Source organism: Homo sapiens, chromosome 15 (genome assembly GCF_000001405.40).
Source record: "Homo sapiens chromosome 15, GRCh38.p14 Primary Assembly".
Classification (NCBI taxonomy): Eukaryota; Metazoa; Chordata; class Mammalia; order Primates; family Hominidae; genus Homo; species Homo sapiens.
In genome coordinates, this window is record NC_000015.10 from 100,738,115 (window position 1) to 100,751,479 (window position 13,365).

The 13,365-nt window shown below is 35.6% G+C and overlaps 1 long non-coding RNA gene across 3 annotated transcripts in view; it reads left to right on the top strand.

The window, feature by feature from the left end:
- LOC105371024 (uncharacterized) overlaps positions 1-13,365 on the top strand; it is a 116,308-nt gene that overhangs the window by 22,056 nt on the left and 80,887 nt on the right. For all 3 annotated transcript variants that reach the window (XR_932726.3, XR_932728.2, XR_932729.3), the window contains exon 2: positions 3,719-3,808. This is a non-coding gene — a long non-coding RNA (uncharacterized LOC105371024). The remainder of the gene's footprint in view (positions 1-3,718; positions 3,809-13,365) is intronic.

Sequence of the window (13,365 nt, forward strand, 5' to 3'; positions counted from 1 at the left end):
ACCCTGCCCAATTAGCTTTTCGCAGTGTGAGCACCATCAAAAGGGATACAGGGAATTGAGAACGGATTTATTCTAGAATTTTCTCCTCCTGATACTATAATGGATTGTCTGTGGGGAGCAGGAAAACATGTTCCCAAGCATGGAAAAGTCATGTGACCATTTGAAATTTGGGCCAGCGCTCCTGTGCCTGTACTTTCAGGTGGCCCTGCCGATTGGAGGGTTTGAGGCTTGGAGAAAACATGTAGGTGCCATACAGACCTGAGAAGAAGACAGTCACTGCAGCACATTCAAAGGACATATTCCAGCTAGTTTTATCAGAGGACATTGCATTAGTCAGGGTTCTCCACACAGGACCAATGAGACGGAGGGCTCTCCTCTGCATTCTGGCTGGTGCCGAGTCCTTTCCCCAGGAAGGGCTGTCACCTGACTGAGAAGCAAGAGCCCAGCTTTTGCAGCCATTTCTCTAGAGAGTTCCCCTCATCCCGGGGCAGAGTCCTACATGAGAAAGAATCATGAAACCCACTAGCCACAGCTTTGACAAGGCCTTGTCTATTTCCACGGCCAATCAGAGGAAAGGGTGAAAGTGCCACCGCTAGGGCAGCAAAGGCTGGTGGGGAAGCCAGAGGCTTGGAGGCAAAAGCCCTGGGTCCTTCGCTCTCAGCTGTGACCCTGGGCAGGCTCTGGAATTGGGCTGGGTCTCAAGTGAAATGGGAAGTGGGAGCTCTATGGAAGACACTGTCCAGGGCGCCAGGGGAGGCACAGTTACACAAGGAAGATCCCCAGCCGTGGGAGCCTTTGCTCTACTCATTGAATCCTGGGTACTCAAGGGAATACTTGGAGTGTTCTGGTGAAGTGGGGTTTTCTGGTCTTCTAGCTGGTCTCTTTGTTCAGCTCAATAAAGGTGTTTATGTAGCACCTATCATGTTTTAGTCATGTTACTAGATGCTGTCAATATCAAGGGGGGAAGATGGGGCACTTGCCTGAGAGCAGCAATTTTCACACTTTCTGATTTCTGAACTTCATTACTCTCTAGCTCTATTTCCCGAAACAGAAAAAAAATTGAGAAGAGTGATATTGTTTTATGTAATTTCGCAAATGTAGAAAATATTTCACAAGTCTTTTTAATGCCTAGGTTAATAAAAGACAGATGGATTCACATACCTGCTTCACCAGTGGTCTCCAGATAATGCTGGAGGGGTAGAGCAATGGGTATTAATGCAGGGAAAACGTACTTGCCTTTGGGGGCATTTTTGGTTGTCACATTTGGGGTTTTATTCAGTGAGCCTAGAATTTAACTCCATGTTACATATAAACACAAAGTCATTTTTGCGTAGTTTTAATATACTTAGTATTTTCCAAGAATGCAAATACTGTGTTATTTGAGAGAAAAGATTATTGTTTGGTTCAGAATTTTATTGAGAATTGTGAACCTTTTGTTAACCAACATTGCTAACAGTATTGTTGTTCATGGCATTTGAATTAACACAAACTTCAGCATTAGCCTGCGTTTAAATCTATTACTGTCACCCTGGCCTTTCCATAGTTGCTGGTGTCTTGTCCACTATTATATATGTGGCTTCTGTAATTTATTTTTTTCTAATTATGTTTTTTATTTTGAGAACATTGTAGACTCACGTGCAGTTGTAAGAAATAACACAAAGAAATCTCCTTACCTGTTTTCTCCAATGGTAACATCTTTCAAAACTGTAGCATAATATCACAACTAGGATATTGACAGTGATGTAGTCAAGATGCAGAACGGTTCCATTTCCTTATGGCTACACCTACTTCCTGCCAGCTCCCTGCCCCCTCCTTAACCCTTGATGAACATTAATATGTTCTCTATTTCTATAATTTTGTCATTTAAAGAGTGTTACATAAGCTAGGCATGGTAACACACGCCTGTAGTCCCGGCTTGAGACCAGGAGGTTGAGGCTGCGGTGAGTTACCATCATGCCACTGCACTCCAGCCTGGGTGACAGAGTGAGACACTGTCTAAAAAAAAAAAAAAAAAGAAAGGGAAAGAAAAAAGAATAGTATATGATAAATGGACTCACAGATCCACTTAGGGTGTTGCATGGATCAGTAGTCTGTTCCTTGCTGTTGCTCAGCATTATCCCATGGTATGGATGTACCACAGCTGGTTTCATTATTCACCCACTGAAGGACATCTGGGCTGTTTTCCATATGGGGCAATTGCAAACAAAGCTGCTATAAACATTCATGTTCAAGTGTTTGGGTGGATATAAGTCTTCATTTCTCTTGGATAAATGTCAAGTAGTGCAATGCTAGTTGCATGTTTAGATTTATATAAAACTTCCGGCTGGTTTTAACTGTATCATTTCACACTCCCACCAGCCATCTGTGAGTGACTGAATTTCCCCACATCACCAGCTTTGGTGTTGTCGTCACCAATTTTTATTTTAGCCATTCTGATTAGATAGTTAGTGATAATTTATTGTTCTTTTAATTTACGTTTCCCTAATGGCTAAGCTCATTAAATATTTTTTCATGTGCTTATTTGCCATTAGTACATCCTTTTTGGTAAAATGTCTGTTCATGTCTTTGGCCCAATTTCTAAGGATTGTTTGCTTTTTTACTGATTAATTACATGAGTTATATAAATATAGATAGGTAGTTTGCAAATATTTTTGCTCACTCTGTAGCTTGTTTTCATCCTCTTAACAGGATCTTTTGCGGAACAAAAGTGTTTTTGATGACGTTCAATGTCAGTTTCTCCTTGTGTGGATCATGTTTTTGGTGTCAAGTTCAAGAATTTTTTTCTATCCTTAGCCCTGAATATTTTATGTTATGTTCTTTTTTCTACAAGTTTTATAATTTTACAGTTTACATTTTAGCCCATGGTGTATTTTGAGTAATTTTTGTATAAGATAGGGCAAGATTCTTTTTTTTTTGCCTCTGGATGTCCAATTGCACTAGTACCATTTGTTGTAAAGGCTATCTTTACTCTGTTGAATTGCTTCTGCTGCTTTGTTAAAACTCAGTTGAACATACTTGTATGGGTCTATTTCCAGGTTCTCTGCTCTGTTCTATTGATCTATGTATGTCTGTCCCTCTGCCAATACCACACAGTCTTGATAACTTCACTATAAATAGTAAGTCTTGAAATTGAGTAAACTCATTTATCCCACTTTATTCTTTTTTGAACTTTTGCTTTAGTTATTCCAGTGATTTTCCTTTTTCATATAAATATAACTAAAACAAAATTCCATATAATTTGAGAATTTATATGGCAAATTCCTGGAATTTTGACAAAAATTGCATTAACTCTGTATATTAACTTAGGAAGAATTGACATCTTTACTGCGTTGAGACTCCAGTCCATGAACAAAATATGCCTTTCCATTTATTATATCATCTTTGATTTCCTTTATCAGCATTATATAATTTTCAGCATACAATTCCTGTAAGTGATTTGTTAGATTTACACCTAAATGTTTTATTTTCCTTTGAACAATTGTAAATGCTATTGTATTTTTAATTTCAATCTCCGTGTGTTCTTTGGTACTATATAGAAAAATGTTATTTTTGCATGTTTATCTTGTATGCTTCAACTTTCCTGAACACATTTGTAAATTCTTAAGAGTTTTTTTAATATATCTCTTGGGATCGTCTCTGTGGACAATTACCTCATCCAGAAATTGGGTGACTTTTATTTCTTCCTTTCATTACCTTTCTTTTCTATTGTATTGACCAGAACTTCCAGTCTATGCTGAGTAAGAGTGATGAGAGCAGACATCCTGCCTTTGTTCCTAATCTTAGGAGGAAAGCATTCAATCTTTCACAGGTAAGAATGTTTGCTGTAGCTTTTTGTAGGTCCTTTTATCAAGTTGAGCAACTTCCCCTTTATTTCTATTTTTTGAGAATTTTTAAAACATTAATGGGTATTGAATCTTGTCAAATGCTTTTTCTGCATTGATTGGTAGGAATACGTGGTTTTCCTTCTTTAGGCTGTTAATATGTTGGATCACATTGATTAGTTTCCTAATACTGGAGCAATCTTGCATGCCTGGAATAAACCCCACAAGGCATTTATCTGAATGTGGCATGAGGGTAATAGTAGGCTCATAAAATGAATTGGAAAATGTTCTTGCCTCTTCTATTTTCTGGAAGAGGTTGTATATAACTGGTGTTCATTCTTTTTAAAGAGTTTGGTAGAGTTATCCAGTAAAACTGCCTTGTCCTAGAGATTTCTTCTTTGGGAGTTTTAAAATTATAAATTAAATTTCCTTAAGAACTATGGGGCTATTTACATGATCTATTTTATATTGGGCGAGTTGTGGTAATTTATATTTTTTAAGGAAGTGATCAGTTTTATCTAAATTGTCAAATTTATGCATGTTGAATACTTTCTCGTATTGCCTTATTATCTGTCTGTATAATCCTGCAGAGACTGTAGTAATATTCCTTGTTTCAACCCTGATATTGGTAATTTGCATCTCTCTCTTGTTTTTAGTCTTTCTAAAGATTTGTCAGTTTTGTTGGTGTTTTTAAAGAACCAGTTCTTTGTTTTGTTGATTTTTCTCTATATTTTGTTTTCGATTTTATTAATTTCTGCTTTTATCTATATTATTTTGTTCTTTTTGATTGCTATTGATTTATTTTGCATTTCTTTCTCTAGATTAAGAACCCAGATTAATGATTTGAGACTTTTCCTGTTTCCTAATGTGTGCGTTTCATGTTATAAATTTCCCTCTCAGCACTATGTTAGCTGCGTCCCTAAAATTTGGATATATTGTATTTTAATTTTTATTCATTTTAATATATTTAAAAACATCTTTTCCTACAGAGTTTATTTTTTACTCAGGGATTATTTAAATATGTGTTGTTTAGTTTCTAAGTGTCTGGAAACTTCTTGTTACTTTTCTGCTTTTGATTTCTTGTTGAATTCCACTGTGGTTAGAGAATACACTCGGTATGAGTCTAATGCTTTTAAATTTGTGAATTTTTTTAATGGCTGGTAATATGTCCTATCTTGGTAAATGTTTTGTGGACACTTGGAAAGAATATATATTCTGCCGTTGAGTGATGTGTTCTATGAATGTCGTTTAGATTTGTTGACTGATGGTATTGCTGAATTCTTCTCTCTATACTTGCTGATTTTCTTTCTAGTTGTTTCATAAATTGTTCAGATAGGTGCATTGAAATCTCCAACTATAATTGTGGATTTGTCTATTTCTCCTTTTAGTTTTATCAGTTTTGTGTTCATATATCTTGTAGCTCTGTTGTTAGGTGCATACATATTTAGAATTACTGTATCTTCTTGATGGATTGACCCTTTTATTATTATATTATTATATGTCTCTTTCTGTCTCTGGTAATTTTCTTTGCTCTGATATCTACTCCATCTTATGTTTATATAGCCATTCCTGCTTTCCTTTGATTGATGTTTGCATGATTTTTAAAAAATCCCTTTACTGCCAACCTGCCTTTATCATTATATTGGAAGAAATTTCTTTTGGATAACATATGGTTGAATAATGTTTGTTGTTGTTTAATTTTTAAGACTTTATTTTTAAGAGCAGTTTTAGGTTCATAGCAAAATTGAGAGGAAGGTGCAGAGATTTGCCTTATACTCTCTGCCCCTAAACATGCATAGCTTCCCTCTGTTTCTGTCTTCTGAAAGTGGCTGTAGAGAATTGGTGTAGTTTCTTCCTTAAATGTTTGGTAGAAATCACCAGTGAACCTATACGGATGGGCCTGAGGCTTTTTGTTTCGGAGGTAATTGATTCAACCTCTTCAATAGATACAGACCTATTAAGATTGTCTGTTTCTTCTTATGTGAGTTTTGGCAGCTTGTGTCTTTCAAGATATTGGTCCATTTTATCTAGGTTACCAAATCTGTGGGCATAGAGTTGTTCATAGTATTTATTTATCATCCTTTCAGTGTCTATGGGCTCTATAGTGACGTCCCTTCTCTCATGTCTGATATTAGTAATTTGGGTCCTGTCTTTTTTTCTCAGCCTGGCTAAAGGCTTATCAATTTTACTGGTCTTTCCAAAGTACCACGTTTTTATTTCATTGATTTTTTTCTGTTAATTTCCTATTTTCAATTTAATTACTTTTTGTTCTAATTCTTATTATTTCTTTTCTTCTGCATACTTGGAATTTAATTTACTCTTTATTTCTAGCTTCCTAATATAGAAATTAGTTTGTTTTTAGATCTTCTTTTCTTATATGTGTATTCAGTGCTATAAATTTCCCACTAAGTGTTGCTTTCACTGCATCCCACAAATTTTTATTAGTTATGTTTTAATTTTCATTTAGTCCCAAATATTTTAAAGTTTCCCTTTAGTTTTCTTCTTTGACCGTATATTATTTAGAAAGGTGTTGTTTAATCTCTATGTAGTTGGGGATTATCCCATTATCTTCCTGTCATTAATTTCTAGTTTAATTACTTTGGGGTCTGAAAGTAGATATTCAATGATTTCTGTTTTTTGTTTTTTTAATTACGTGTATTTTATAGCCCAGAATATGGTCCATTTTGGTGAATGTCCCATGTGAGCTTGAGAAGAATATGTATTCTGCTGTTGTTGGATGAAATAGTCTAGAGGTATCAATTATATCCAGTTGATTTATGGTGTTGTTGAGTTCAATTATGTCCTTACTGATTTACTGCTTGCTGGATCTGCCCATTTATGATCAAGAGTTTTTAAATCTTCAACTATGACAGTGTATTCATCTATTTTTCCTTGCAATTCTATCAGTTTTTGTGTCTCATAGTTTGACACTGATGTTAAGTGCATACATGTTAAGGATTGTTATGTCTTCTTGGAGAATTGACCCATTTATCACTATGTAATGCCCTTCTTTATCCATGATCACTTTCCCTGCTTTTAGGTCTGCTTTTTCTAAAATTAATATGGCTACTTCTGCTTTCTTTTGATTAACCTTACTTTGTAATATTTTGTCCATTTTCTTTTAACCTATTTTTATCTTCATATTTAAAGTGGGTTTGCTTTTTGTTTTTTTGGTAGAGAACATATAGTTGGGTCTTGTTTATTGATCCACTCTGACAATGACTGTCTTTTAGTTGGTGCATTTATATCATTGACATTCAAAATTATTATTGGTATAATTGGATTCATATTATATCATTGACATTCAACATTATTATTGATATCATTGGATTCGTATCTACCATATTTGTTACACTTTTCTATTTGTTGCCTTTCATCTTTCTTTCTTCTTTTGTCTTCTACTCTTTTCCTATCTTTTGTGGTCTTAATTAGCATTTTACATTCCATTTTCTCTCCTTTCTTGGCATATCAGTTGTACTTCTTTTTTTATTTTTTAGTGGTTTCCCTAGAGTTGTAACATACATTGACAACTAATTTGAGTGTACTTTTAAATAACAATATCCCACTTCACAAGTTGTGTGAATACCTTATAATAACAAATAATCCAAATTCCTCTTCTCCATTTCTTGTATCACTGCTGTCACTAATTTTATTTATATATAAGTGCATATATATATCTAATACAATGTTGCTATTATTATTTTAAACAAATTTATCTGTTAAATCAACTGAGAATAAGAAAAATAAACATTTTTATTTTACCTTCACGTATTTTTTCTTCAACCTTTATACTTTCTTTACGTAGGTCCAAGTTTCTGAACTACATTATTTTCCTTCTCCCTAAAGAACTTCTTTTAAAATTTCTTGCAAGGCAGGTTCACGGGCAACGAATTCCCTCAATATTTGTTTGTCTGAGAAAGTATTTTTCCTTCACTTTTGAAGGATAATTTTACAGGGTACAGAATTGTAGGTTGCTGGGTTGTGGGTTTTATTTCCCCACACTTTATTTCACTCTACTCTCTTCTTGCTCGCATGGTTTCTGAAGAGAAGTTGGATATAATTTCTTATCTTTGTTTCTTTGTAGTAACATGTTTTTCCTCTCTTTGATTTTCTGTAGTTTGAAGATGATAGGCCTAGGTGCAGTGTTATTGGCATTTATCCTGCATGGTGTTCTCTGAACTTCCTGGGTCTATGGTTTGGTGTGTGACATTTATTTGGTGGAAATATTGTTCCAGTATTTTTTTTCTGTTTTTTTCTCTCTTTCTTATCTTTCTTTTGATGGGTTACTAATAAGCCCATCAAATGCATCCTTCGTTTCTGTTACAGTGTTTTTGTCTTTCAGCATTTCTTTTTGGTTCTTTCTTAGGATTTCTACCTCCCTGCTTATATTGCCCATCTGTTCTCGCATGTTGTCTACTTTGTCCATTTAAAACAGACTCTTCCAATCTCTGTCTTATAAATGGTGCACTTAGATCATTTACATTTAATAGAATTATAAATATGTTAAAACTTAAGTCTGCCATTTTAAAATTTTGTTTATTCCTTTTTTTCATTGTTTCTTTGTTTTCTTTTCCTGCTTCCTATGGGTTACTTGAACATTTTTTAGAATTCCAATTGATTTATCTGTAGTGCTTTTGAGTGTATTTCTTAGAATTTTTTTTAGTGATTGCTCTAAATATTAAATTACATAAAATAATTTATCACTGTCTGCTAGTATTGTCATTTTACCAGTTAATTCAGTATAGATATCTTCCCTCTCTTTATATCCCTTTACCTTCCTCCAGTTATAACTGTACTGAATTTTCCTCTGCATATCTTTAGAACCATATCACACAGTGTTATAATTTTTGCTTTTCCCATCAAACTTAATTTAGAAAATTCAAGAGAAGAAGGAAAATCTTTTAGTTAGTAATTTTGTTCTTTCCATGTTCTTTCTTCCTTTTAGATATCTTTTTTTTTTTTTTTTTTTTGAGACAGAGTCTCGCTGTGTCACCAGCCTGGAGTGAAATGGCATGATCTCGGTTCACTGCAACCTCCGCCTCCCAGGTTCAAGCAATCCTTGTGCCTCAGCCTCCTGAGTAGCTGGGATTACAGGGCCGCACCACCACGTCTGGCTAATTTTTGTATTTTTAGTAGAGATGGGGTTTCGCCATGTTGGTCAGGCTGGTCTCCAACTCTTGGCCTCACATGATCTGCCTGCCTTGGCATCCTGAAGTGCTGGGATTACCGGTGCGAGCCATTGGCCCCAGCCCCTTTTAGATATTCTAAGATTCTTTCTTTTATTGTTTTGTCTCTATTTTGAGAAATTCCTTTATTATTTTAGGGTAGATTTGCTGGTGACAATTTTCTTAGTTTTCCTTCATTCAAAACTGTCTTGATTTTTCACTTCAATCATAAGGCTATTTTACTAGGTATTGATTCTAGGTTGACAATTCCTTTCTTTCAGCACTTGAAAAATATTACACCCCTTTCTTCTGGCCTCTTTGCTTTCTGAAGAGAAATCTGCTGTCATTCAAATTGTTTTTCCTCAATAGGTAAGATGTTATGGTTTTCTCTGGCCACTTTCAGAATTTTTTTTTTGTCTTTAGTTTTCAAAAGTATTACTTTGATGTGTCTTGGCATGTTTTTCTTGGGGTTTATTCCATTTGGCATTTGTTCTACTTCTTGAATCTGTAAATTTATGTCTCTTGCTAAATTTGGTAAGTTTTTCAGCCATTATTTCTTCAAGTGCTTTTTCAGCCTGGACCTTTTTCTTCCAGGACTCTTATGACCCAAACATTAGATCGTTTGTCATAGTCCCCTCAGTCCCCAACCCTCTGTTCTTTTTTTTTTTTTCCAGAATATTTTCTCTCTGTTGTTCAGATTGGCTTATTTCTATTTTTCTATCTTCAAGTTTACTGATTCTTTCCTCTGTCCCCTCATTCTGCTGTTGAACCCATCTACTAAGCTGTTTATTTCAGCTATTGTATTTTTCAGTTCTAAAATTTTCATTTGGTTCTTCTTTACATCTTCTTTGTGGAAAATTTCTGTTTCTTAAGTTTTTTTTTTAGATGTATTTCGTGATCATAATTGCTTGTTAGAGCATTTTTATCCTGTCTTCTTTAAAATATCTTTAAGATAATTTTAACGTCTTTGTCATCCTGATGTTGGCATCTGTTCACTGTCTTTTTCATTACATTTGAGATCTTTCTAGTTCTTGACATGATGAGTGATTTTCAACTCTAATCTGGACATTTTTGTATTATGTTAGCAAAATTTGGACCATATTTAAATCTTCTGTTTTAGCTAGCTTTCTCTGACATTGTTTTTGCAGAGGTGGAAAAGGAGTGCTGCCTTGTTACTGCCAGGTAGGGGTAGAAGTGCAGGTTCCTCACTCAGCCTCTGTGGACACCCAAGCTGTGGGGTTCTGTGTTGTTGCTGGATGTGGGTGGGAGGTCTAGCTCGCTAACTTGTCTCCACTGACCCTGGGGGTTCATATCTCATTACTTACCAGAGGGGATGAAAATCTTAGGTGTCTACTGGGTCTTCTCTGACGTCACCCTTTGGTGTGTGTTAAGAGTCTCACAAAGGAAGAAGTCTAGGCTCTCTCCTTGGTCTTTGCTGATGTAGGTAATGTTTTCTGTGGTTTTCACTGGAATAGAGCAGTTAGTCTGTACAAGTTTTCTGTCTTGCTAGGCTGCCCCTTTCTTGGCCCTTTTGTTAGAGAGAGCAAGCTTTCGTTATTGTGGTGGTGGTTTGTGTTCATCGGGATCTCCAGCTTGCCAGCTTTTTCAGTTCCAAGTTTAGGATATATGAGGCAAAAAGAAACCCTACAGAACTCACTACCACATCATTCCTTGAGTCTTAAGGCACTTAGCCAGCCTACCTTCTCCTCATCACCTTTCAGAGACTTATCGTGTTTGTTTTATATATAATGTCCAGAGTTTTAGTTGTGCTTAGTGGGAAATTAGGGAAAGATATGTCTACTCCATCTTCCCAGAAGCAGAATTTTTCCTAATTTATTTATTTTAATTAAAAAAATCATTTTAGGAGACGTATTTGCCAAAGTTAAGGACATGCACCGGGGAGATAGGTCTATGCCTTTCTTTAAATATGATTTTGAGGGCTTCAACATTCAAAAGGGAAAGGGTAGGATACTGAGAAATACACAATTTTCATGTGAATGGGGTAGGGGGAAATAGTCATTCATGCCTTTGTCTGGCTCAGTGAATCTGCATTTTTACACAAGATAACATAGACAACAGGGCAGAGGAAACAATTACGTATGCATTTGTCTCAGATGAACAAAGGGACGACTTTGAGTTCTGTCCTTTGTCTCTGTACCTGTGAAGATAAGCTATCAATTTACATGGCTGTGGTGAACTTTAACAGAACCGCTTCAGGGTAAAGATCTTGGGTCCCACAAGGAATTTTCATGTGGGCACAATGTGAGGGAAGTATGTAGCTTTTCATCTTTGTAACCATCTTATTTAGGAATCAAAATGGGAGGCAGGTTTGCATGACCTGGTTCCCAGCTTGGCTTTTCCCTCTGGCTTAGTGAGTTTGGGGTCCCAAGATTCATTTTCCTTTCACAATTGTAATGTTAACTCCTAGTAACGTTTTTTTGACAATGGTTTTGGCAATGATTTTTTTTTCTTTTTTTTCTTTTAACTTTTGTTTTAAGTTCTGGGGTACATGTGAAGGTTTGTTATGTAGGTAAACTCATGTCATGGGGGTTTGTTGTACAGATTATTTTATCACCCAGGTATTAAACCCAGTACCCAATAGTTGTCTTTTCTGCTCCTCTCCCTCCTCCCACCCTCAACATTCAAGTAGACCCAATGTCTATTGTTTCCTTCTTTGTGTTCACAAGTTCTCACAATTTAGCTCCCACTTACAAGTGAGAATGCAGTACTTGGTTTTCTGTTTCTGTGTTAGTTTGCTAAGGATAACAGCCTCCAGCTCCATCCACATTTCTGCAAAAGACATGATCTTGTTTTTTTATCACTGCACAGTATTCCATGGTGTTTATGTACCACATTTTCTTTATTCAGTCTGTCATTGATGGGCATTTAGGTTGATTCCATGTCTTTGCTATTGTGAATAGTGCTGCAGTGAACATTTGTCTTTATGCTAGAATGATTTATATTCCTCTGGGTATATACCCAGTAATGGGACGACAGGGTTGAATGGTAGTTCTGCCTTTAGCTCTTTGAGGAATCACCATACTGCTTTTCACAATGGTTGAACCAGTTTACATTTCCACCAACAGTGTGTAAGTGTTCCATTTTCCCCACAACCTTGCCAGCATCTGTTATTTTTTGACTTTTTAGTGATAGACATTCTGACTGCTGTGAGATGGTATCTCATTGTGGTTTTGATTTGCATTTCTCTAATGATCAGTGATATTGAGCTTATTTTCATATAATTGTTAACCACATATTTGTCTTCTTTTGAAAAGTGTCTGTTCATGTCCTTTGCCCCCTCTTTAATGGGGTTGTTTTCCTCTTGTAAATTTGTTTAAGTTCCTTATAGATGCTGAGTATTAGCCTTTGTCAGATGCATAGTTTGCAAATGTTTTCTCCTATTCTGTAGGTTGTCTGTTTATTCTGCTGATGGTTTCTTTTGCTGTGCAGAAGCTTTTAAGTTTAATTAGATCCCATTTGTCAGTTTTTACTTTTGTTGCAATTGCTTTTGATGTCTTTGTCATGAACTCTTTGCCAGTTCCTATGTCCAGTATGGTATTGCCTAGGTTGTTTTCCAGAGTTTTTTATAGTTTTGGGTTTTATATTTATGTCTTTAATCCATCTTAAATTAACTTTTGTATATGGTGTATGGAAGGAGTCCAGCTTCAATATTCTGCATATTGCTAGCCAGTTATCCAGCACATTCATTGAATAGGGAGTCTTTTCCCCATTGCTTGTTTTTGTCAGCTTTGTTGAAGATCAGATGGTTGTAAGTGTGCGGCCTTACTTCTGGGCTCTCTATTCTGTTACATTGGTGTGTGTGCCTGTTTTTGTACCAGTACCATGCTGTTTTCGTTACTGTAGCTCTGTGGTATAGTTTGAAGTTGGGTAATGTGATGCCTCCAGACTTGTTTTTTTTTTTTGCCTAGGATTGCCTTGGCTATTCAGGCTCTTTTTTGGTTCCATATGAATTTTAAAAGTTTTTTCTAGTTCTGTGAGGAATGTTGTTGGTAGTTTGATAGGAATAGCATTGAATCTGTAGTTGCTTTGGAAAGTAGGTCTATTTTAATGATATTGATTCTTCCTATCCATGAGCATGGGATTTTTTTCCATTTGTTTGTGTCTTCTCTGATTTCTTTGAGTAGTGTTTTGTAATTCTCATTATTAGAGATCTTTCACCTCCCTGGTTAGCTGCCAAATTTATTTTTAAATCATCTTATATTAGTCATGGTTTTCCAGAGAAATAGAACCAGTAGAATGAGTGTGTTTGTGTATACACATGTGTACAACCTATTGTGTGTGAGTGTGCATCTGTGAATGTGTATGCATGTGTATACATATGTATACATACATACTATTGGATATATTCACATACATGC